A 26,910-nucleotide genomic window follows, 5' to 3' on the forward strand; every position below is an offset into this window, starting at 1 on the left:
TTGTAATTATACAGTATGTAACCATTTCGGATAGGCTTCTTTGATTTAGCAATATATATTTAAGTTTCCCCCATATCTTTAAAGAAAAAAAAAGCAGTGTTATTGAGGTAGAATTGGCGTAAAATAAACTACACATGTGTCAAATATACAATTTGGTAAATTTCTGTCTACCATGTTAACAACTTTTTAGTGTACAGTTTAGTAGTATTGAGTAGATTCACGTTGCTGTGCGATGGGTCTCAAGAACTTTTTCATCTTGTAAAACTGATACTCTGTACCCATTAAACAAACTTCCGATTCCCTCCTCTACCCAGCCCCTGGTAACCACCATTATACTTTCTATTTCTGTGAAGGTGACTACTTTAGATACCTCATAAAAGTGTAATCATGTAGGACTTAAGTTGTCTTTCCTGGATATAGAAAATGTCTGGTGTATAATAGGTTCTCAATAAATAAATATTAAGTTGATGGCAATGGCTAATCATGAGGTAATAATATTAATAATTATGTATCAAAAGACTTCAAATATTACATAATATAATTTTCAGAGTACTGATACTTAAAAACATCCTTTAAAATTGGAATAAAACTTAATTTTTCAAAAATTATAGCAACAGAAAACAAACAAAAAATAAACCAACAACAAAAGAGCAAAATAGGTCAACCCAGTAGCATATTTGTTAATCAAAAAAGTATCTTATAAGTACTATTACATATCATCAACCTAATTATTTTACTCATTTTCTTCACTTGTAAACACTGATCTCTATAATGTCAATTAGAAGTTCCTTTCACTAATTTTCCTATTATATGAATGACTTTTCCAGTCTCTCTTTAATTTTCAGCTAAGGTGTGTTGCTAGTGGGAATGACATAAATTTTTAAAAGAATGTTACAATACAATGGAATTTAGCAAATAAAGTACATATCCAGGGGTCAACATGAAAGTGGCATGAGGTTCTGTAGCACTTTCTTTATGCGATGTGCTCTACCTTTTATAATTTAATTAGTTGCTGCTATCAGATGACATGTGCATATGAATTTGCTGTCAAGTGCTTAATATTTTTTATTGAAATTCTGATAGAAAACTTACAAGTGTTTTTTCTCACTAAATGTTTGCTATAAGTTTATGTGCATATTTTCCATACTCACTTCATACATAATTTCATAGTGTGTTGACATTCTAACATATGTTTCTGAAGGCTAGCTGCAGAGTCATTGTTTATGTATACAGTATTAATACACTCCCACAAATTTTTTAGCTTGTATTAAAGAAAATGACAAAACCTAAACATGTGTATTAAAAATTATCTCTGACATTTAAAGTAGGTTCAATAGCTGCAGTGCAGCAATTATTGCAGCTGTATGGAGCCACGGCATGACATGTAGATTTTATTTTCAAGTCAGTTGATGCATATACCCAGTGAGCAGTCATACCACCCTTGCTGTAGTCAGAAAATGGAGATTTGTTACAACTAGACTTAAAGAAATCTTTTCTTTTTTTTTAGGCTATTATTTAATAAGGTTTATGAAATAGGGTTTCATCAGACTGCTCTTCTGTACCTCAACAAAAATAAACTACATACCAACACAAAACAAAAGATACAGCAGCATTGCTCTTACTCAGATTTGGCTTGAATGTTACTTTATAGCAATAAATGGCAAGGAATGAAAGAAGATTCTTCCTCATTAAAAATGCAAGGAACGCATGGTAGAAAATAATGAAAGGAAGAAAAAATAAATTATTTACTTAATGAAGATAAGAATAGTAAACTATTACTAAAAATTATGAATTTTTTAAATTTAAAAAAGCAAATAAGTGAAGTACTACAGCATAAAGGTTAATAATCAAAGTTGAAATGATTACCTCCTACTTAATGTGACTTAAGACATGAAGAATCTGTCAAACAGTTATATTAATAATCCTGTCCCATAGATATTTTGAAGATTTACTTTATAATTACATGTGAAATGCTTAAAACAGACTGGGCATGCGCTACATGCTCATTAAAAGTTAACTATTAGTATTCTTTGGCCGGGAGCGGTGGCTCACGCCTGTAATCCCAGCACTTTGGGACGCCGAGGCGGGCGGATCACTAGTGGTCAGGAGATGGAGACCATCCTGGCTAGCATGGTGAAACCCCGTCTCTACTAAAAATACAAAAAATTAGCCGGGCATAGTGGCGGAAGCCTATAGTCCCAGCTACTCGGGAGGCTGAGGCAGGAGAACAGAGGGAACCCGGGAGGCGGAGCTTGCAGTGAGCCCATATCGCGCCACTGCACTCCAGCCTGGGAGACAGAGAGAGACTCCATCTCAAAAAAAAAAAAAAAAAAAAAAAATTAACTATTAGTATTCTTAAGATGCTTTGGATGCTTGATTTTGGAGGTGTAGAAGAATAGTGACACTGGATTAAGTGTTTTTTTTTTTGTTTTTTTTTTTGAGAATATAAACCGTCTTCACGTAATTTGGTGCACAGGAAGTTGTGTTCTCATGAAACTCGAGGTTTCAGGAATATTGAGAAATCATGCTGAAGATATGAAGATATGTGGGAAAGGATGGGGGAGTTCCTTTATAATGATGTGGTATTACGAAGGCCACAGTGTATAGATTTTTGTAGGCAATAGAAGTGCTGATCTCTGAATTAACGACAAGAAAGCCCATAGCTCTGTGATAATGGCAGCATATTGCAGGGACTTGTTCTTCAGGCATTGATCAATAGAAACTGGCATATTGACCAATGTGGTCGATTTTCTCCCCAGTATTCTTTGGGATTATAGTGGCCATGTGAACTTTACAGGATATGTTTGAAGCCTCGAAGAAAATGTGCTTTGGTTAGAAATGGAACCACATACTTTCCCTGATCCACAGGCGTTTGTCACAGATGGTCCTGTGGCAGCTGGGGGTGTACTAAAAGAGCCCACAGGAGTGAGGTCTCAGTTGAAGACCAGTGGTTTCAACCAAGTTAAGACTCTGAAAAGTCTCCATTTGGATTCTTTTTATAGCATTTTGGGATGATTAAATGAGTTAATATATGTAAAGCACTTAAAACTGTGCTGGAATATTGTAAGCAGTCAAAAAAAAGAGCTTGTTTCCATTTTCTGTTCCTTATTTTCTTTTAAATAAGATCAATGTAAAATATATCAAATGACCCTATCATATACCACCAGGAAACCACAAACCAATGAAATATAAACTTTTCAGAAGAATCAGACAAATATTGTACCAAAAAGAGCTCCATACTTACTGTAAAAAGACTTCCATTTTAATCTTGCATCCACTTCCAAATTTCAGCGTGATCTTGAGCTAGTAAGTTGAATTCTTCTGGCTTAAGCATCCTCATCTATGAGGTGGCAATTGTCACATACTTTTCTACGTCCTAAAGGACCCTTAGGGCACATGAGCCTTGTCAACTGTAAAGATGTATTTATTAAATATACTTATAAATAAGTAAATGTAACAGCATTATTATCAATTATTAAGAAATTGAAAACTGTATTTTTTCTTATTATTTCTCCTGAGAAGTGGGGATGGCAAGTGAATTGCTAGATTAATAAAGATTAACTGCTTAAAATGTTAAATTGAATAAAGATTACTGAAGAATGCTGCAAGAAAATATCCTTTTTCTTATATATGTATATGTTATATTATGTATCTGTATATTTCATTTACATGGTGCTTTATAATTTTATTTCTATTGAAATTTTATTGATTTTCTGATTATACCTTCAAATATTTAGGATTTCTTTTATTGTCAATAGAGGATGCTCAAATTAAGTGCACTGAAGCCAAGAAGGCTAATACTTCTGTAATTAGTGACACATAACAAAATGTTGATCCTTCAGAAAAACCAAAAGCACTCCAGTTGAGGAAAGCTGCAACTATTTAAAAGGAAAATATGTGGGACAAATAACACTCTTCTTATGTATTTTTAATTCTGTTTGTAGCTTCTTGAAAAGGTTTATAGATAATGTCATACACTATCTGTAAAATGTTAGTGGCAGTGCTTAGAATAATATAACTTTTACTTAATTTAGATTTACCTAATTCTCCCTCTGAATTCTATAGATGATTAAATTAGAAAAGGGAGAAAATATTCAAGTAATTCTAAGATGAAAACTTTCTAAGCAGATCCTCTACCTTTTTCATAGGAAATGCCAGGAATCCTAGCCAAAAGAGAATGTTATTTATCCATTTGAAAGAAATTGAAAAATGTTAAGCTGACCTCAATGTAGATGTCTATTATGATAAAAAGAAAAAGAATATAAAAAGAGTATACTGATTTAATTACACAAATTATTTAGGTACAGCCATGATATTTCACAAATCAGCTCACAGATCAGCTTCCTACCATTCTGAAAATGTAGATGAAACAAAAAAAAAGTCTGGCCGGGCGCGGTGGCTCACGCCTGTAGTCCCAGCACTTTGGGAGGCCGAGGCGGGCGGATCACGAGGTCAGGAGATCGAGACCATCCTGGCTAACACGGTGAAACCCCGTCTCTACTAAAAATACAAAAAATTTAGCCAGGCGTAGTGGCGGACGCCTGTAGTCCCAGCTACTCGGGAGGCTGAGGCAGGAGAATGGCGTGAACCCGGGAGGCGGAGCTTGCAGTGAGCCGAGATAGCGCCACTGCAGTCCGGCCTGGGCGACAGAGCGAAACTCCGTCTCAAAAAAAAAAAAAAAAAAAAAAAAAAAAAAGTCTTCACAGAGGTAAATTGCAAAAAGAGAGAAAAAATTATGAGAAATAAGGGTAGAATTAGCAATAAATTTTCAAAAAAATGCTGCTTGGAGACAAAATTACTTCTATGGTTCATCTGGTCTTTCTCACTATTTGCCACCCTGCTAAGTAGAGAGATTTCCGTTTGTTCAAATCTCTTCTTCAGTTTTAAATAGTTTCATTTCACTTTCTATATTCAATCTACTTTAAAATTGAAGGAGCTGTCATTATGCTGTTCATAGGCATTGGCAATGATGTCTGTCTAATCATTGCTTGTTCTTCTGGCAACTGCAGCTGAAACCTGTAGCTGGTGACCTTGTGAAGCCCTTTCTTTCTTCTTTGTCTTTTAACTTCTTGAACATTGTTCGTGCAGTTATTTTAAAATCTGGTTCTGGGAAGTCTCATATTTGGGTTTCTCATAAGTGATGTTTCCAGATAAAATACAGAATGTCCAGTTGAATTTGAATTTCAGATAAGGGCTGAATAAAATTCTAGATTAACAATGAATAATTTTTTTAGTATAAGTATGTTCCACATATTGCATAGGATATTCAACGTTTTTCTGAAATTCAAATTTAACAGGGTGTCTTCTGTCTTTTTTTTTTTCTTCTTTTTGAGACATAGTCTCGCTCTGTTGCCCAGGCTGGAGTGCAGTGGCGCGATATCCGCTCACTGCAAGCTCCGCCTCCCGGGTTCATGCCATTCTCCTGCCTCAGCCTCCCGAGTAGCTGGGACTACAGGCGCCCGCCACCACGCCCGGCTAATTTTTTGTATTTTTGGTAGAGATGGGGTTTCACCGTGTTATTCAAGATGGTCTCGATCTCCTGACCTCGTGATCCGCCCGCCTCGGCCTCCCAAAGTGCTGGGATGACAAAGGTGTGAGCCACCGCGCCTGGCCTTCTGTCTTCTATTTTATTTGGCATATATGACAAATTGATCCATAAATTTATATTTATATCTGCAGATTACATTGATTCTTTTGGTTTGTATAATTGTTTTCCTCTTTAAGTGTATTTATTTGTTTATTTTACATTGTGTGTTATACATATTAGCAAAATTATAGAAATAGTAAGGTCTCATATGAAATTATCCTCTCTTAAAATAGTATGCTTGTATCTGGCAGGTACTTTGAGAGACTAGCAATCCAGTAGCAACTTAATCAAATTTCAGGGATTGCATAGATTCAAAGCTGAGCCTCAGCTCTTTTGAGTTTTAACTACTCATTGATCATATTTATCTCAAATCGAGATAAGTCACTTTACATCTTCTTAAGAATAGGTAATTTACTTTCATAAATACACAGGGAACATAGGATTTTATTTTATTTATGATATTGTTTTTAATTTTTTGTGAAGGTGTTCTGCATAATACATTCTGTGAAATTTTAGGAGCATCAACAGGAATAGAGCAACTTTTATATCTAATTTTAAGTTAAAGATATCGAATGTACTGGAACAATCTAAGCATGTTTATATTCATCTTAAATATAAATCCAAAATTTGGAACTGTTTCTATTCTTAAACACAATTATCAATGAATTGGACCAAAGGTATGAGCCCATGTATCAAAATAAAATTTGAAAAGCAAAGCTACGCTTCATTAATCTGATAAAAGCATTGTCAAGTATGTTACATCAAAATTTAAAATAGTATCTTTGAACCAATAATTTAATTGAAATGATTACTACATAAAACTTAGATCATCGTCTTCAAAGAGAACAAAGTGTTAATATTTTAGTCTTTCCAATAAAAATGTGAACTGATTATATTATCATTTGAAAACAGTATAATATTTGCATGCAAAGGAGAAAACACAGAGACTTGAATGCAAAATTTATATTGTAGCTTCTAGCTAACGACAAGGATGGTAACTTCAAAGTAGAAAATTCCAGAAATAAACACAATAAAAAATAATAACAATCAAAATGCCTATCATACCCTTAGGCATTCGGATAAGAAATAATGCCATTTGTCTGGCAGAAGGTATGTTTCTGGTAATAAGTTTTAGATGCTGAAAGCAAGATGATTATTTATCAAAAAAAGATTTGTTTTTCAAGCTCCATTGGTAAAAATGACTATATTTTTAGTTGGGAAGATACAAGAAATTGTGTCTTAGTAAGTTAAATAATCTTCCAACAAGCTCAAGTAAATAAGTTCAGTTGAAATTCAAATATCCCAAGTATTGTTAATCTTATTTCCATTTTCCCAGATTTTAGTGAATATTCTTTTGTTACTAGTTGTATCTTCAGTGGTTTGATGAAGCTAAATCTGGGAGATCACTCATTCTAGGTATGGATCTCCTTACCCTTGGCCTCTGCATCATATTTTGGCCTATCAGAAATGGTGAAAAGTCAAATGTAAGATGAAAGCTATCAGATGGCGTAAGAAAACTCTGGACCAGGTCTTAGAAGATATAGACCAGTGCTGTCAAGCTCTCTCTAAAAGTCTGGTAACACAACCATATTTTTTTAATAAGCAGCTTCCTGAATTTGATACACTGGTATTTGGCCATTTGTACACCATTCTTACCACACGATTGATGAATGATAAACTTTCTGAGGTGAAAAACTACAGCAACCTTCTTGCTCTCTGCAGAAGAATTGAAAGGCACTATTTTGACGATTGTGATAAAGGCAGATTGCCTTAAAATTATGTGTTAATTTTGTTATTATTTTCAAAAGTTTAACTTTTGAAATACGTTTTAGTTGAATGTTATATTAGATATTGGTATCAGAATTTTAAAACCAAATAACTTCCTTTTGAAACCTCAAAACAAATTATACAATGTATCCTATATATGTACTTTATATTGTTATTTGTGTACACGTTAAGATAATTCTGAATTATTTCATTTGATATGTTATATTCTATACCTCGAAAGTTTTGTTTCCTTGAAACATGCATGCATATAAAAATGAAGTTTAAACAACAGCATAGATGTTACATTTACTTTCTTTTGATCTTTCTGAAAGTCACTCACTGAATTTTACACATGTGGAATAAACAGTGTTTTTTTCTAAGACACTGCTGCTGCCTGGAGGTGCCTGCCACTAGCCATGGCCAACCCCACTCTGTTTGGCATAGCTGCAGAGGGTGAGCCCTTGGGCCACGTCTTCTTCAAACTGTTTGTAGGCAAAGTTCCAAAGACAGCAGAAAACTTTTGTGCTTTGGGAACTGTAGAGAAAGAATTTGGTTATACGAGATTCTGCTTTCACAAAATTATTCCAAGGTTTATGTGCCAGGGTGGTAACTTCATGCCATAATGGCACTGATGGCAAATCCATATGCGAGGAGAAATTTGGTTATGAAAATTTCATCCAGAAGCATAGAGGTCCTGGCATCTTGTCCATGGCAAATGCTGGACCCAATAAAAATGGTTTCCAATTTTTAATCTGCCATGCCAAGGCTGAATGGTTGGATGGCAACCATGTGGGCCTGGACAATGTGAAAGAGGGCATGAGGGTATGACTGTTGTGGATATTATGGAATGACAAGATCAGCAAGAAGATCACCATTGTGAACTGTGAACAACTCTAATAAATTTGACTTTTGTTTTGTGTTCAACACCAAACCATTTCTTCTGCAGCTCAGGAGAGCACCCATCCACCTCATTTGTTCACTATAATCTTTGTGCTCTCACCGCAGTTCTTTAGGTTTCTAAAGCCAACTCACAGTAGTTCAAATTTTTTTGCTAAAATCCAGTTTACTGTCAAATGTTTTGCTGCCAAAATACTTATATATAGTGAATAAATAAGTGGTATGCATCCTTATTTAAATTAAAACTTAAATCATAAATATCTTTTTAGAATGATTGTTGTACATATGAAAAACTTTAAATCAACACGGTCTGCAGTATCATTTTGATGATGGGAATGATGTGCATTATTGGGTTTAAAATAATTTTACCTTCCACGAGCCTTTTTAGAAATCCAACTTGTTACCTTTTAATTGACTTGAATATTGGGTGAATAGCTATAGTATTAATCCATGAAGTACCCTAACTCCAGGAAACATAGAAATTATAAAATACGTCAATCTGAGAGACTCACTAATAATATTTCTTGATGTTTTTGGACAGACAGATAATGAATAGTATTTTTCTTACTGTTGCATATGGTTGTTATTTAATAATATGGATGTTATATTGAGGTATTTCAAGATATTACAATCTATAGCAAAATTTAAGATGATATACTTTTTTTGAATACACTGTAATTTTCTATTTTAAATTTTTACAACTAGTGGCTTCTTGTTCAACTATTTTGTAGTATGTCTCATCTATTTATGTCCACATATATGAAACAATTTATACATTTTATTGAGCTTTAAATAAAATAAACTATTTGACAGTTTAAAAAGTGTGTACTAGAGCAAATTACTTAATATTTCAGGACCCCAGTTATTCCAGCTGTTAAATGGAGTGGATCAAAAGGCTGATTAAATGTAACGGATTCCAAAGAATGGCTGGCACATAGTAAGTACCATATAATTAGACTTAAACTGCTAAGATTAATTATATTTTTTATTATTTAAAAATCTATAAAACTCTACCTATTAAATTAGCATGGTATTCAGTCTTTTTCAAGAGTTTTATTCCAAATATAGTTCTGAGGATATCCAGGGTTACTTATATTTGTAATTGAATCAGTTTTCTCATGGTCTCCTGGGATAACCTGCCAGGAAATTAAGTGTCCTGATTAGGCTAGATTCTCAAAACAGTGGCCGTCTGATCTCATTTCCCTTCATCCTTCCGGCCTCATTCTCAGGACAGAACAAGACAAGCCATTAACCCTGAAACCCAGTGGTTCCCACATGACGGCCACTTCTGATACTTGTTTATTTATGTGGATAAACATGGTTCCTTGAGGAATGAATAATAATACTCTTTTCGGTATAATACTCAGGGAGGGCGACAGAGACGTCCCTTGTGTTATAACTTTTTATAGTTAATCATCGTCAAGTCTTTGGTGTGTTACTAATGCTCAAATGGTATTTATATTTTTTCTCAGGGGTGGGGTGGGAGGCACTTTTTCTGCATTAGCTGCACTCTTTGTAGAGAACCAACACCTTAGTTTTATATCCTAGACTCTGAAATTGAATTTGATTACTCTAGGAAACTCTCATTTTCTGTATGATGAGATTCCCCTTAGGAAAAAAAATGCTAACTTAATTCCTACCTATAGCTGATTGAGGCCATATGAGATACATTTAAATAAGGAATATTTGAATATGTTTATTTTTTGCCTTACATTTAGTCCTTTACAGGAGGAAAAGCAATGATGTCCTACCATGTAGTTTCCCAGCCACTAATTACAATGGTTGTATGCGGGGAGGGAGCACAGCTGAGAGAAGGGATCTAACTCCTTGTGATGAAGTACGAGGCCAAACTGTCCTGTTAAATAATTAAATTCATAGTGTGTTGCATTTTGTAGATTTGAGCACTAACACATTTCAACATGGGAATAATTACCTAAAAAATAATAATATTTAGAGAAAAATACTATTTTATTTATTTATTTTTTTGAGGTAGAGTTTCGCTCTTGTCGCCCAGGCTGGAGTGTAATGGCGCAATCTCGGCTCACTGCAAACTCTACCTCCTGGGTTCAAGTGATTCACTTGTCTCAGCCTCCCGAGTAGCTCAGATTACAGGCATGTGCCACCATGTCCCACTAATTTTTTAAAATACACATTTTTAAGTCAAAACAACCCCCACTCCTGGCTTGTTTATGAATCTCTTATGAGATGAACTTCTACTGGTTTCAATGATGACACGTAATTTTACTATGAATACGTTTCAGAGGCTTTTTTGTAAGCAGAATTAGAAAATTATTTCTGATACCTCTATGCAATTTTACTATGTTTCACGAAGCATGCTAAAACTTCATTTTTAGTATTAAAGGTCATATATTAGATATATTATTTTACCAGAATAAGAGTGTTGAAAAAAAGTTGTCACATTAAATATTGTACAAGATGTAAATTGATTACAGTTATTTTTGAGGCTTTCACTTTTATATCTTAAATTACAGATTCCTATCTTTTGATATAAGCAGTTATTACCTGAAATAGGGACTTAAAGTGGATTTAAGAAATGATTTAGAAAAAAAGTGCATTTGGGCTTTGTGATATTAAGAAATTAAATTATTCCATTTCATCTATCCTTCTATCATTATCCTTCTATTCTTCTCTCATTAGTGTCTATAGACATTTGATGGGGGGATATATTTTGAAAGAAGCAAAGAGATTACCAACATGGATTAATTTATTGAGAGCGGTATATAAATGCATTTAACATATTAATAAAATATTTAACAAATTCATAAAATATGAACCCAAATTGGAACAAAAAGACTCCTGCTTAAAAATATCATATTTTTTTCCAAATGCATAATACAGGTATGTGTATACATATGTATGTATGTGTGTAGATAGATAGTTAGATTGACTCACAGGTAGGCCGAGACATACTTTCCTTTGGCTCTGAAACTAAGAGTTGTTTTTCTCTTAGTCATCTCTACTGTTGATGCTGGAAATACGGAAAGAAAGTTTTTACAGGACTCTATTGATCGTACATTGATTCATTGAATTCTTTACAAGCAGACTATTTATAATTCGTACTTGTTCATAAATTTTTTTGAAGTAATTTATTGAGTGTCACATATATATGTGTATATATATATATGTGTATATATATATGTGTATATATATATATGTGTATATATATATGTGTATATATATATATGTGTATATATATATGTGTATATATATATGTATTTGGAGATACATATATCTAAATAAAAATATATACCAGGTGCCATGGGGAAATGACCAGAGACACACTAATTGAAGTGAGCACTTTGGGGAGAGGTTTAATCATTTGGTGGTTGGGCTGAAATTTGAATTATAGAAAGATTCCATTTTCCAAACATATCTTGGTTTGGTAAGAGTTCTTTGTTACAGAAAATTACACACACACTAATTTTGTGGGCAGTCTGTTCAGTAAGACAAACTAAATCCAGATATGTCAAGAGAAAGTCTCTTTTTTTTTTCAAAAATGTATTTTGCTTAAAACTGTTGAAGTAAATGATATTACTAAACCAAATCTGCAAGTTGAATCTGGCAACGTCAAGACTTCTTGGGCATAACCAAGGTAAAACCATTAATCATTTTTAGTGCTCTTCAAAGAAAAGTTTCACAGTAATCAATAGTGATATTGCCTCAGAGGAATGATGCAATGGAAACTTTGTACATTTCCAATGACCCAGGTAGCCAAACTTCTTTTTCATTATCTCACATAAAGGTTCAACATGACATTCAGGAATCAAGACCACACAAGCATTGAAAAAAGGCTTTATAAAACTAAATGAATAGAATCCTAACTACATAGAAGCCTGATCATGATGAACCCTAATTGTTCATCTCAAAATAGAGGCTGATTACTTTTGGCAGAGTAAGGAGTTCCAGCTTTTATCGTTATTGCTTTATTCCATTAAACTCTCATTACATCATCAGAAAAGAAAGTCAATACTGACTTTACCAATAAGATTCAGGAAAAACATCAAGAATAATTACAATGATCAGTCCTGATCTTACCCAAAATTGCTGAGTGTGGCATCAAAATAAATATTAGAAATTTCAATAATAAAGATTTAAAAAGGGTAAGAATAGACAAAATGAAAAAAGGAAGAGAATATATAACGACAGATATTATAGTTTGGCTTTGATATCAGAAATAGGTACTGTAGAAGAGATCCTGAGGGGAAACTCCCACCCTAGGATAATTCACACTAGCAGATGGTTGCTATTCTTAAGTGTATTGGGATTATTTGAAGAATAAAGGGGGAAATAAGAAACAATGAAATATAGGTAGACAGTGATAAAAGGGTGAATTTGGGGTTTGTTCATATTTGTTTATAGGCTACCGAGTATTGTGAAGAGGAATCTGGGTTCAAATAATGAGCTATAGATTCCCATAGTGACTGTTCCACCAAATGAGCTTATTCCCCTGAGACTCATTTTTATCACAACCAACAGAAGTTAGTAATGTTACTTGATCTGTCTGCTGCGTAAGACTTCCTAAGCATCAAAATAATTCATGTAAGTATACTTTCAAAAATAAGAGGTATTATGAAAATAAGTATTACTTATAACTATTTCAGCCCAGGCTCCCACCTTCATCGGTGTAGGCTACAATGCAGTGATTTTTCAGTCTTTAGTCCTTCACATATTTTTATCCTGTGACTCTTTTTCACCTTCATTCTTTCCAAAATCATCAGGTGGGTCAAAAATACCTGTTGAGATTGGGCTATTGTTAGGATGGATCTGAAGACTGTGTGAAGTTACTATTTCAGTAACTTTCTCTTGGAATTCAGCGAAAAAAAGACTGACAAACTATTTATGGCTGTGTTCCTAAAGCCAAAGCGTGTCAAAAAGAAAACCAGGCCGGGCACAGTGGATCACGCCTGTAATCCCAGCACTTTGGGAGGCTGAGGCGGGCAGATTGCCTGAGGTCAGGAGCTCAAGACCAGCCTGGCCAACATGGGGAAACCTTATCTCTACTAAAAATAGAAAAATTAGCCAGGCGTGGTGGCAGGTACCTGTAATCCCAGCTACCCAGGAGGCTGAAGCACGAGAATCACTTGAACCCCTGGGGCAGAGGTTGCACTGAGTTGAGGTCAGGCCACTGCACTCTAACCCGGGTGACAGAGTGAGACTCTGTTTAAAAAAAAAAAAAAAAGAAAAGAAAAAAAAAGAAAACCAAATCCCCCAACTTCTCTATAAATAAAGACATACTCATCCGTGTACATGAGTCTTAGTATTTTATGTTCACCTGCACAGGGTATCATATACTATACACTTATTTTACAAAGAAGCAGTTTGTTTCAGGGAACCGTTATCTATAAACAGAACATTCTCCCTAGGTATAGTTTAGAGAATAGAATAAAGATTGTGTGTGTGTGTGTGTGTGTGTGTGTGTGTGTGTGTGTGTGTGTTTAAGTAATTTCCTTCAGGCAACAGGAGTCAAAGTCAAATCAATCTCTGATTCTTTATTAAGTGACTTTACTTGAACAGGAAAAAACAACTTTGTTGAATATTTGTTATACATTATCTTTTCAGTATCTTTTCTTTTTCTGTAGCCTTTTCTCTTTAAGGTTTTAAAATTTTTATGTCATACCCCAGAAACTTATAAAGGGTGCTGGACAGAGTCAAGATTCAAGTGCTGTGATCCATGGTAGTGATTTGGGAGGAATGTGGAGTCCCTATTTCCTGTCTCGAAGTTTATAGAGGGTTAAAATAGCAAAAGCTTACAAATAGGAACAGAGAGTGTCTATAAAGACATTTAGCAGTTTTAAAAAGCAGAACATGAAGTTACCTTAAAAACAAGTAGTGATAATTGGTTAATTAGAAGTAGAAAATTGGCTAGGTACTAAAGGAATTCTGAGAAGAAAGCATGAACATAAAGGAACAAAAGCTGAGCTATAAAGACAATTCTCCTTTTTAATGTCTCCAGTTCAAAAAATATTGGTGATCTTTTAGATGTTAGGAAATAGTGCCATGTAGAAAATAGTAGAAATAATTAAAAGAGGATCATTACAGAGAAGCACGACTAGTTTGCTTTATTCTCTGATGATCCACCAATTTAAGAAATGCTGAATTGAAAAGGAATTTAAGTGTTGACATTCTCTAAGCTAATATTATTGATAGCTTAAAATTCTATTTATGTAATTAAGTGCAGTAATCACCATTACAGGAATAAGCTGTCTCACAATTAGAAAGAATCTTGAATTTTTAATTATTAATTCATAAAAAATGATTCCTTGTAAATTAGTTCAACCACTGTGGAGAGAAGCTTGAAGATTTCTTAAAGAACTTACAAAAGAAATACCATCCAACCTAGCTATCCCATTACTGGGTATATACCACAAGGAAAATAAATTGTTCTACCAAAAAGACACATGCAATTGTATGTTCATTGCAGCTCTATTCATAATAGCGAAGACATGGAATCAACCTAGGCACCCATCCATGATGGATTGAATTTAAAAAAATGTGGTACATGTATACCATGAAATACAATGCAGCCATGAAGAATGCAACCATGCCATTTGCAGCAACATGGATGCAGCTGGAGACCATTATCCTAAGCGAATTAATGCAGGAACAGATAACCAAACACCACTTTTTCACTTATAAGTGGGAGCTAAACATTGGGTAACTATGGATAGAAACATGGGAATAATAGACACTGGGAACTCAAAAAGGGGAAGGAGGGGAGGGAGAAAGTGCTGGAAAACTACCTACTGGAAACTGTGCTCACTACCTGGGTGATGGGATCAAGTGCTCTCCAAACCTCAGCATCACACAATATGCCAGTGTAACAAATCTGTCCATGTGCTCCTTGAATCTAAAATAAAAATTGAAATAAAAATTTGTTCTAACTTACATATAGTGAATTTCTAACTTCCACATATTAAAATTTAGTCATAGGTATATATTATGTGTTTTTACAAATGCATAATCATGCAAATTCCACCACAATGAAGATACAGAAGAGTGCCATCATGCAAGAGATACTATTCATGCTGTCCTTCTGTAACTAAACCTACTTTCCTCCAACTTTAAATCTTGGCAACCACTATAGTTCTCTCTATCCTTATGGTTTTGCCTTTGCCATGAGCATATCAACAGTTGAACAATTAAATTTATTTTTAATTACAAGAAAAGAGAATGCACAGCATAGATAACCATGAGGCATCTCAGAAAGATGATAGAAAGAAGTTTTTATTGAATTTGGGTTTTCATAGGTAATTTTGGAGAGAGTCTGAGGAAGCAGGGTTTTGACCCACACTGGGTGCTGTCAGAAAGCAGGGCATTTTGTGACTGGGTAGCTCAATAAAGCTTACCTGTGTGGAAGACAGAGTAGATGGAGTAAAAATAAAACTTAGTTGGTAAAGAAACCAAAGTCACTTATTTAGAGAGATATAAGAATGTTTTGTACATGAATGCTTATAGTAACACTGAAGTCTAGCTCGGGGCCTAAGATCAGTTTCTAGTTTCCTCAATGACCCATTCTCTACTTTTCTCAGACAAATAGTCTCTGTCCAACAACCTCCAAAAACGTTCCAAGTCACTCAGAGCAAAATCCAATGTCCTCATAACAACCCCATGAGGACCTAAATGATCTGTTCTCTGTCACTGCTCTAACCTCAGATTTTACCATTCTTCTCCTTTACTCACTCAGCTCCAAACACCAGACCTACTAGCTGGTCCTGAATCACACTGAGTGTTTTCCTATCGCACCATATTTCCGATTGCTTAATCTATGCCTGGAATGATTTTTCCCCCAGAAGTGTGTAGGGTTTAGAGTTTTTGCTCTAATAGTCCTTCTTGGCATGGTCTACAACAGGGGTATCCAATCTTGGCTTCCCTGAGCCACACTGGAAGAAGTGTCTTAAGCCACACAAAAAAAACACTAACACTAACGATAGCTGATGCGCTAAAAAAATTAAAAAATCACGAAAAGAACTCACAATGTTCTAAGGAAGTTTACAAATTTGTGTTGGGCCACCCTCAGAGCCACCTTGAGCCACACGTTAGACAAGCTTGGTCTGCAACAACCCCTCTATTAAAAAGTGCAACATGTCTCAGTGCATTTCAACACCACTTATCCTTTTTTCATTTATTCTTTTCAAAACAATTTCTCTCTTCTTAATATATAATATACAGGGTATTTTTATGTATTATGTTCTATAAACTCCATGAAGACAGAAGTTTGTGTGCATTTACCTCATTTCTGTAAAGCCAGCAGATAGCACAGTGCATGGTGCTCAAATGAATAACTAGTCCTACCTAGCTGGAGACTATCCTTCCTGGCTTCCCTTTCAGAAAACTATGGCCATGTAACTAGAACATCACAAGTGGAACATGACCCAAAGTAATGTGTGAACTTTCTGCCTCACTTGCTTCAAAGAATAAGGACTGCATTGAATTTCTTCTGCCTTTTCTGGAACACAAATTAATGAAGTCTAACTTCATCTTACAGATTATAAAAGCATGCTAGTGGATGGAGATGCAACAAGAGATGGCTTGTTAAATTGGCTGCTTAACTAGGGACTGCTATGCAAGAGAGATTCACACGTCTTTTGCTTAAACAATTGTACTTTGGGATATTCTTCTTATAATAGTTTATCCTTCACTTCCAATATTACATGTGATCTGATCACTGTCTTTATTTAGTTCCCTCAAAAATTATTCCTACAAATATTTGCAATATAATTTGATGATCTAAATTAGAGAATTTGTAAAATTTCACTTGAACAAGTTTATAGGTATCTGTAGATCACTGGCAGCAATAACTCTTTTTATACAAATGTCTATACTTCTTGAGGTTTGCTATAGATTAAAATTTCTGGAGGAAATGGCAACGATGTACAGACTCCTGTGTGAGTTAGAATATATAGAACCTAGGGTATTTTTGATTCTTTAAATGAGAAGCCTCATGCATATTTGTTAGTTATGTATCCAGTGGAGAGAAAAGGTTTGATAATATAAATAACAGAGAAGTAAATTGAAAGGTTCATCCAGCTCATGTATAATATGTCCTTCAACTAGTATTATATATTTTTATTTGCGGAATTTGTGTAGTTTAGTATCTCCACTTCAAAAATTATTTACAAATACACTACTCCATTTAACATGTTTTTGCTTTCACATTGCCTAGTTAACAGTACAATTTATTGGACTTTTAAAAACCAAATTGATATGTTTTAATTATATAATTATTAAAATATATAAACCAGTAAATGTGTTATTACAGTTAATACATATGCTCAATATCAACATATAGCTAGCTGATCATGTTGATGTTGCACAGCTAGATTTTTATTCCATGACCCTTAGCTCCATGAAGTTTACTTTTATTTTCTCTTTTAATATATTGTTCTGAGCTCAGACATTGGTTCTACCACTTTATATCAATAATCACATAAAGATAACTCTCTTAACTTTGTTATCCACATTTGTGAAATATGGGTAGCAATGGCATTGCTTCACAAATTTTAGAGGGATGAATAAGTAACTGGTTTTGAATCAGGAAAGTGCACTTATTAACTTAACGTGTAGGAGAAAAATATTTAAACCCTTATAGCCACATATTACTCATTTGTATACCGTAAGTCTTAATAGTGGTAAAGATGAAATAACATAATTTACACAAAATGCTTAGATTAGTACCTTATAGGTATCGTTTGGCTGTGTTTCCACCCAAATCTCATTTTGAACTGTAGTTCCTATAATACTCACATGTGGTGAGAGGGACCCAGTGGGAGGTAATTGAATCATGGGGGTGGTTTCCCTCATGCTATTACGAGAATAGCGTGTGAGTAGATAGTGAGTAAATTCTCATGAGATCTGATGTTTTTATAAGGAACTTCCCCCTTTGCTCGGCTTTCAGTCTTCTTCCTGCCACATGTGAAGAAGGATGTGTTTGCTTCCCCTTCCACTATTATTGTAAGTTTCCTGAGGCCTCCCCAGCCATGTTGAACTGCGAGTCAATTAAGCCTCTTTCCTTCATAAATTACCCAGTCTTGGGTATGTTTTTATTAGCAGCATGAGAATGAACTAATACGCATATACATTGTCTATTATAGTAATCTTTTGCTGTTATCATTACTCTGTAAAAGTCTATTTGTTGAACAAACCCAGATTTCACTATATTTTTGTGATAAGCAAAATTATCTTAATAGTGAATACACAAATGTGGGAGTTTATTATTATAAGTCAAAAATTTTAAGTAGATATTTCTTTGAATGTTTGTTTTAAGCATTAAAATAATTTGAATATTTGTTTTAAACATTAAAATAATTTAATTGAAATTCCAAAATTTAATAACTTGAATTTAATAATTTGCTGTGGGTATTCACTTATAATTCACCAGCATTGACTTAAAGTTACACTTCATTTCTTCCCACTCAGCTGACTATCTAAATCTTTGCCTTCTAAAGGATATGGAAAACCAATGTCCTACCACACTAAAATAGTAGCTATAGCAATAATAATAGCAATAAAATGAAAAATAAATGTCAATTTTACCATGCCTGGCTTCTAACTAAGAATTAGTTATTATGAGACATTGCATAAAAGAAAAATTTAAATGATAGTTTGAATGCTATAAAAGTATAATTAGGTGAAAAGATAAAACCAAGAGTTCTCTGCTGCCCATTGGCCTATATGTTTTTTGAAGCTTAGTGTCCCCTTTAAGTGAGATAACAGCTATGTCATTTTGCATCCTCTGGCTAGAGATGTACAATTAATGCAAATTAAATTTTGCTTGCATTTAATGTTTGATATTTTCTTCTCATTTTGTATACTTTCCCTTATTTATATCCTAATAGGATTTTCATGTTTCATTCAGAATTAGAACAATAAAACATATTTGCATATATTCTCTTTGATCTTTTTAAGATCAATCATAATTCTAAATATTATATCTTTCTTTAAAGAAAAAAAAGATAAAGTCATAGGTAATGGATCAGAGAAGCTACTCAAAAAACTGCATGGGAAATTTATAATGTTAGATAAAAATATTTGCCTTGAAATTGAAATCAGAAAATAAGAGCAGAAACAATATCAAGACGAAGAGTGATGGATAAAATAAGTTGCAAGATTTGTATGTTATTGGTATGAGAATGACCATGGTGTTTATTCAGAAAAAAATATTTTTCTTTTGCAAACACACCAAAATATATTTATAAAAGTAGTAAGTTAGCATTTTGTCTCATCTTCCTTGATACCTCCTTAGTGTGGTGACCTTGCATCAGGTGGACATAAGATATTTGGCTCCGTTGAACCCTGGCACCTAAGATATAAAAGGTTTCTAAGGGTGTCTCTCCCTCTATAATCTCATGCCAAAAGAATCATGTAGAAAAGAATGTTTCCAAAATTTTTAAAAATATTTCTTCCAAGAAACAGCAGCAACAAAAAAACTATTTCAGAGAAATATCTGAGCATTTTTGCTACAGAGCTGAATTCAGAAAAATGAAAAATCTAGCTCAACCAATTCTAGCAACTAGCAGACACCAAAATAAGCAGATTTCAAACTTATGACTGTATAGAAAGGCAGGATGTTAAAACTACTGTGTGCTGCTCTTCTTGCTCATAGGCAGACTTTGAAATAGTCTCTTATTGCTGCATTCCTGAGGCATTCTCACTGGAGGGCCTTCAGCAATTCTCTTCTGTCCCACTACTCTAATTCATGGATCTGTTCATTAGATGTAGGAGGATCATGTTCTTTTGAAACACAGAGAGAGAAAAGGAAACTTGAAGCTATGTTAATATTATTTTTGTTTTAAAAAAAATTACAAGACATATTCAGGTATGTGGGTAAATAATTTGTTTTATTCGATTGGCAAACACATCCCCTTCCAGGAAAATGTTTAGACAAATAGATTAGAGTACATATATGTTTGTCCATTGATGTCAAAAAGTTGACAACCCATGACCTGAGTAATCTACTTACTACTTAAACCCTTATAAACCTTTAGCTTTCCCCTAGTTATAAAATTCACTTCCTCTTGTAAATTTACTTCTGCTCTAGTTAGACAAGTACATTTCAGTGTTCTTTTGCCCTTTCTCAGCCATTTGAAACTAATTTCCTTTTAGGATATGCTCTACTACATCTAGTTTTTAAATTCCAAACTATTTGTAAAGCTCTCTGTTGTATTACTCTTATTTAATGTATCACTGCCTGTAGCATATATGTAAAATGTAATTCACATTTATTTGCCTTGTAGTATTTTTTTTTAAACAGGCTTTAAAAATGTATGGTTTGATAGTATTCCAACCACGGAAGAGCTTATTGCAAAATTGGATTCAGTCTTCTCAAACCGTGTACCTGCTTTATCCATTAAGTTCATCTAATATTCTAAATCCTTTGTTATGAGTTCAACAATTTTCAAATCTTTATTGGTCATCTTCACCAGTAGATATTAACTCAAGTATTTTAAATATTTGTTTTCCTGTGTGGCTTCATCAGGGGTAATCTGGAACAAGAACATACAGGTGTAGACACAATGTTCATTGCCAAAGTGGAGATTTAAGTAAGTGACGTGGATAGTTACAGAAAAATAATCCAATTATCTCTCTTATTTCTGAGTTTTCCTATATTTTCTTGCTACATGCATGCTTTGAAGATATTGTGGGTTCAGTTCCAGACCACCCAGATAAAGTGAATGAGTCACAGTAAATGAGTCACACAAATATTTTGGTTTACCAGTGTGTATAACAGTTATGTTTACACCATACTGTAGTCTATTAAGTGTGCAATGGCACATGGACTAAAAATTATTATACATATGTTATTTAAAATAAACATTAATGCTAAAAATGCTAATGATCATCTAAGTCTTCAGGAAGCTATAATCTTCTGCCAGTGGAGGGTCTTGCCTCAATGTAGATTGCTGCTGACAGATCTGGGTGGTGGGTGCTGAAGATTGGGGTGGCTGCAGCAATATCTTAAAATAAGGCAACGATGAAGTTTGACATATTGATTGACTCTTCCTTTTGAGAAATATTTATATGTAGGATGCAATGCTGTTTGATAGTATTTCACCCACTGTAGAACTTCTTTCAAAATTGGAGTCAATCTTCTCAAACCATGCAGCTGCTTTATCTACTAAGATCATCTAATATTTAAATCCTTTGTTATCAGTTCAACAGTTTTCATACCTTTATCAGGAATCTTCCCTAGTAGATATAATCTCAAGAAACCACTCTTTGCTTATCCCTAAAAAGCAATTCTGCATCTGTTCATGTATTATTATGAGGTTGCAGCAATGCAGTCACAGCCTCAGGCTCTGCTTCTAATTCTACTGCTCCTGCTATTTCTACCATATCTGTAGTTCCTTTCAGCACTGAAGTCATAAACGTATAAAGTTATCCATGTGGTTTGAAACCAACTTATTCCAAACTCCAATTAATATTGACATTTTGACCCCTCCCCATGAATTACAAATGTTTTTAATGACACCTAGAATAGCAAATTCTTTACAGAAGACTTTCAAATTACTTTGCACAGATGTATCAGAGAAATCACTATCTATGACAGCTATAGCCTTACAAAATGTTTTCCTTAAATAATAAGACTTGAAAGTCAAAATTACTCTTTGATTCATAAGCTGCAAATGAATCTTGTGTTAGCAGGCAGACAAGCAACATTAATCTCCTTATACATATCCATCAGAGTACTTGGGTGACTAGGTGCATTGTCAATGAGCAGTAATATTTTGAAAGGTATTTTTTTTCTGAGCAGTAGGTTTCAACAGTGGACTTAGAATATTCAGTTAAATTATCCTGTAAACACATGTGCTGTCATCCAGGCTTTGTTGTTCCATTTGTAGAGCACTAGCAGAGTAGATTTAGCATGATTCTTAAAAGTCCTATGATGTTCAGAGTTTTCAATAAGCATTGGCTTCCATTTAAAGTCACCAGATGTATCATTCCTTAATACAAGAGTCAACCTGTCAGTTGAAGCTTTGAATCCAGGCATTGACTTCTCCTCTCTAGCTATGAAGGTCCTAGATCGCATCTCTTTCCAGCAGAAGCTTGTTTTATCTACATTGAATATTTGTTGTTTAGTGCAGCCACCTTCATTAATGATCATAGCTAAATCTTCTGGATAATTTGCAGCTTATACATCAGCACTTGCTGCTTCAAATTGCACTTTTTTCTTATAGACGTAATTTCTTTAGTTCTGCAGCCTCTTCACCCCCATGAGCCTTTACAGAATTGAAGAGAGTTAGGGCTTTGCCCTGGATTAGGCTTTGGTTTAAGGTAATGGTGTGGCTGGTTTGATCTTCTATCTGGACCACTGAAACTTTCTCCATATCAGTAATAAGGCCGTTTTATTTTATTACCATTCATGTGTTCACTGGTGTACACTTTTAATTTTATTCAAGAACTATTACTTTGCATTCACAACTTGACTGGTAAGAGAAGCCAGTCTAGGCTATCAACATACCTTCCTCACCAAGCTCAATCATTTTTAGCTTATGATTTAAAGTGGGAGACATGTGACTCTTCCTTTCACTTGATCACTTAAAGGGCATTGTAAGGTTATTAATTGGCCTAATTTAAATAGTGTTATGTCTCAGAAAATAGGGAGGCCTGAAAAAAGGGAGAGAGACCGGGAACAGATAGCTGGTGAAACTGTCAGAACTCAGACAATATTTATTGACTAATTTTGCCATATTATATGGTGCGTTTTTTGTGTCCCCTGCCCCCAGTTATAATAGTAACATCAAAGATTACTGAGCACATATCACCGTAACAGATAATAATGAAAAAGTTTGAAATATTGGAGACTTACCGAAATGTGACACAGAGACACAAAGTGAACATAAATTCTTGGAAAAATGGCACTGATAGACTTGCTTGATGCAGGGTTGCCACAAAACTTCAACCTGTGAAAACTCAGTGTCTGAGAAGTACATGAAAGCACACTACAATAAAATGATGTATGCCTGTGTCTAATAACAACAGCAAATATCTAAATTGATAAGGTAATAAACTATGAGAAATATCTATGAAAGCAACTCAATATAACCAGAATGTTTATGAAGAAAAGATATGGGAAAGTTTTATCATGTTACAGTTTACTATTCAAAGCAATTATTCAATCATTTTGTGCTCAACAGGAGCTCACCAAGTTTCTGGCAAATTGTTTGTCATGAACTGAGGATTAACAAAGTCACAATATTCACTGAAAGTGTGTGGAGATTCAGTTGCCTGTATAACATTTTTTTTTCTTATTTGAGTGTTATGCAAATGATTATTGGCTTTTCCTGAAATTGAAGTCATTTCGTAGCTCTTCAATTCTGGGCCTTTTTTGAGAAATGATGACACACAGAAGAAAACTTTTAGATACGGATGGCAAATCACCATAAGCATAAGCATATAACTATCAGTTACTAAATTCAATTCCATAATATATCTCAAAAATGTGTTTATTTTGAGACAGGGTCTCGCTCTGTTACTTAGACTAGAGTGAAGAGGCATGATCTCAGCTCATTGTAACCTCCACCTCCTGGGCTCAAACTATCCTCCTGCCTCAGCCTCCAGAGTAGCTGAGACTACAGGTACACTCCACCATGCCTGGCTAATTTTTGTACTTTTCGTAGAGATGGGGTTTTGCTATGTTGCCCAGGCTGGTCTCAAACTCCTGGCATCAAGCCATCCACCTGTTTGGCTTACCAAAGTGCTGGGATTCCAGGGGTAAGCCACTATACCTAGCCAATATTGTAAATAAACTATGATTTCAAAACATAGTGAAATTTTTAAAAAGTTAGGGAGAAGAAAAAGTTCCTCTGGGAAAAGTAAAGCAATATTATGAAGAAAACTTATTTGAAAATTTATTAAGAATCAAGACACATTCAGCTACCAGGCACTCAGTAGATGATCCAGGGCAATGAAATGCAAATGTTCTGTGAAATTGAACTGATTCTTTAGTAGTATCTTATGTATGTTTAATAGAACTAGTATTTTCACTGATTTTTAACTTTACACTTTGAACTTTTTCAATATCCTTCTCATTTTAATTAAAGATAGTTTACAGGTATTGGGAGTGGAGGAGGCAGTTATAATCATAATTAAAATAAGAGGATTATCTTAGTCTAGGTCAAGAAATCTTCCCTATGGGTGGGCTTAGGAAAGCCCATAGAAATTGATGAGAGCAATTTCCAGTTCTCCAGCTGGGGTTCCCTAGGTTATCACTATTGATGAACATTTAAGAACCACAAATGTGGCAGTTCGTTGGGCTAGATCTGTGGTAAATACATTGCAGAACTACTCACTTTAATTGGTAAATGACCTTGTAAATCTGACTTTTATCATTACTGATAGTTTTGTCCTGTCAGTATTAAATCATGATTATTTAAAGCATTAAGAAATAAAATAAAGACTTTATTTTTTACTTTTTATTTCAAGCATCATTATAGTTTTTCAGAAAAACTTTTTTAAAATTAAAGTGCAACATATGAATGAGTATACATCTTAAGAATGTGTAATCCAGTTTGCAGATCAATGACCATACCAAGAAACCACCTTTGAACCAAGACATTTTCTTCCCATTCCAGGGATAACAACCATCCCAATACTATGAAAGGAGTGTGCTTGTTTACAAACTTAATTTAAATATCATTATGCATTAATACTTTTTAAAGTCTGAATTCTTTTACTCCATGATATATCTGTAAAATTTTTTAAAGTTTTGGTTGTAGTTGTAGTTTAACTCTCATTAATTTATCTTATTCCATTATATGATTACACCACAAAATAACTAATTTATTCTATGGTTCATAGGTATTTAGGTTGTTTAATTTGGGGATATTAATTTAGATATTACTCTATAAACCTGGAGCACATGCCTTTATAAAATGTAGGTATGCATTTTTGAGTATATAAATGGTACTGTTTTTTTGATTCATAGGTGTAAAAATATTACCCTATAGTTAGATAAGGCCTAAGAGTTTTCCAACATGGATGTATCAATTTGCACTCCCACCAGCACTGTTCAAGAGTTCCTACTACTTCACATAACCTTTTTTTTTTAAATAGCTTCTAGTTATGTGATGGGCATTTAATCATATCTAATTATTTTTATCATCAGGAAAATTCATATAAAAACTTTTTTTAACTTTTATTTTAGGTTCAGGGTATGTGTGGAGGTTTGTTACATAGGTAAATGGCATGACACGAAGGTTTGATGTAAAGACTATTTCATCCCCTAGGTAAGTAGCATAGTACCTGATAGGTAATTATTTGATCCTCACCTTCCTCTCACCCTCCACTCTGAATTAGGCTCCAGTATCTATTGTTTCCTTCTTTGTGTCCATGTATGCTCAATGTATAGCTCCCACTTATAAGTGATAATATGTGGTATGTGGCTTTCTGCTCCTTCAATAGTTTGCTAAGGATAATGGCCTCCAGTTCCACCCATGTTGCTGCAAAAGACATTATATTCTTTTTAATGGTTACATAGTACTCTATGGTATATACGTACCAAATTTCTTTATCCAGTGTACCACTGATGGACATTTAAGTTGGTTCCATGTCTTTGTACTTGTGAAGAGTATTGAGATGAATATATGTGTGCATGTGTCTTTATGGTAGAATAATTTATATTAGTTTGGAAATATATTCAATTATGGGATTGCTTGGTCAAATGATAGTTCTGTTTTAAGTTCCTTGAAAAATTGCCAACTGCTTTCCACGATGGCTGAGCTGATTTACATTCCTTCCAGCAGTGCGTAAGTGTTACATTTTCTCTGCAGCCTTGCCAGTGTCCGTTAGTTTTTGACTTTTTATTAATAGCCATTCTGACTTTGTCAGATGGTATCTCATTGTAGTTTTGACTTGCATTTCTCTAATGATTAGTCATCTTAAGTATTTTTTCATATACTTGTTGGAAACTTGTATATCTTCCTTTTAAAAGTGTCTGTTCGTGTCCTTTGCCCACTTTTTACCATTTTCTTTCTTGTAAATTTGTTTCTGTTTCTTATAGGTTCTGGATTATTAGACTTTCGTCAGATGCATAGTTTGCAAAAATTTTCTCCCATTCCCATTCTATAGGTTGTCTGTTAACTCTAGGTTGTCTGTTAACTCCCTTGATAGTTTTTTTTTTTTCTGTGCAGAAGCTCTTTAATTTAATTAGATCACATTTGTCAATTTTTGTTTTTGTTGGAATTGCTTTTGGTGTTTTCAGCATGAAATCCTTGCCAGGGCCTATGTCCAGAATGATATCCCATAATTGGTATTTCCTAGGTTTTCTTCAAGGGTTTTTATACTTTTAGGTTTTACATCTAACGCTCTAATCCATCTTGAGTTGATTTTTTTGTATCTGGTATAAAGAAGGGGTCCAGTTTCAATCTTCTGCAAATAGCTAGCCAGTTACTCCAGCACTATTTATTGAATAGGAAGTCCCTTCCCCATTGCTTATTTCTGTCAACTTTGTTGAAGACCAGATGGTTGTAGGTGTGTAGTTTTAGTTCTGTGCTCTCTATTGTGTTCTATTTGTATATGTGTCTGTTTTTGTACTGGTATCTAGCTGTTTTGGTTACTGAATCCTTGTAGTATAGTTTGAAGTTAAGTAGTATGATGCCTCCAGCTTTGATCTTTTTGCTTAAGATTGGTTTGGCTATTCA

At 34.1% G+C, this 26,910-nt stretch overlaps 1 long non-coding RNA gene and 2 pseudogenes across 1 annotated transcript in view; all 3 read left to right on the forward strand.

Moving 5' to 3' along the window:
- The window catches only part of LOC101928283 (uncharacterized), a 194,753-nt gene that overhangs the window by 153,451 nt on the left and 14,392 nt on the right, over positions 1 to 26,910 (forward strand). The window contains exons 7-8 of the long non-coding RNA NR_110188.1: positions 9,106 to 9,188; positions 25,416 to 25,497. This is a non-coding gene — a long non-coding RNA (uncharacterized LOC101928283). The remainder of the gene's footprint in view (positions 1 to 9,105; positions 9,189 to 25,415; positions 25,498 to 26,910) is intronic.
- Positions 6,927 to 7,738, forward strand: MTX2P1 (MTX2 pseudogene 1; annotated as a pseudogene).
- On the forward strand, positions 7,806 to 8,178 carry PPIAP93 (PPIA pseudogene 93; annotated as a pseudogene).

Source organism: Homo sapiens, chromosome 7, assembly GCF_000001405.40.
Source record: "Homo sapiens chromosome 7, GRCh38.p14 Primary Assembly".
NCBI lineage: Eukaryota > Metazoa > Chordata > Mammalia > Primates > Hominidae > Homo > Homo sapiens.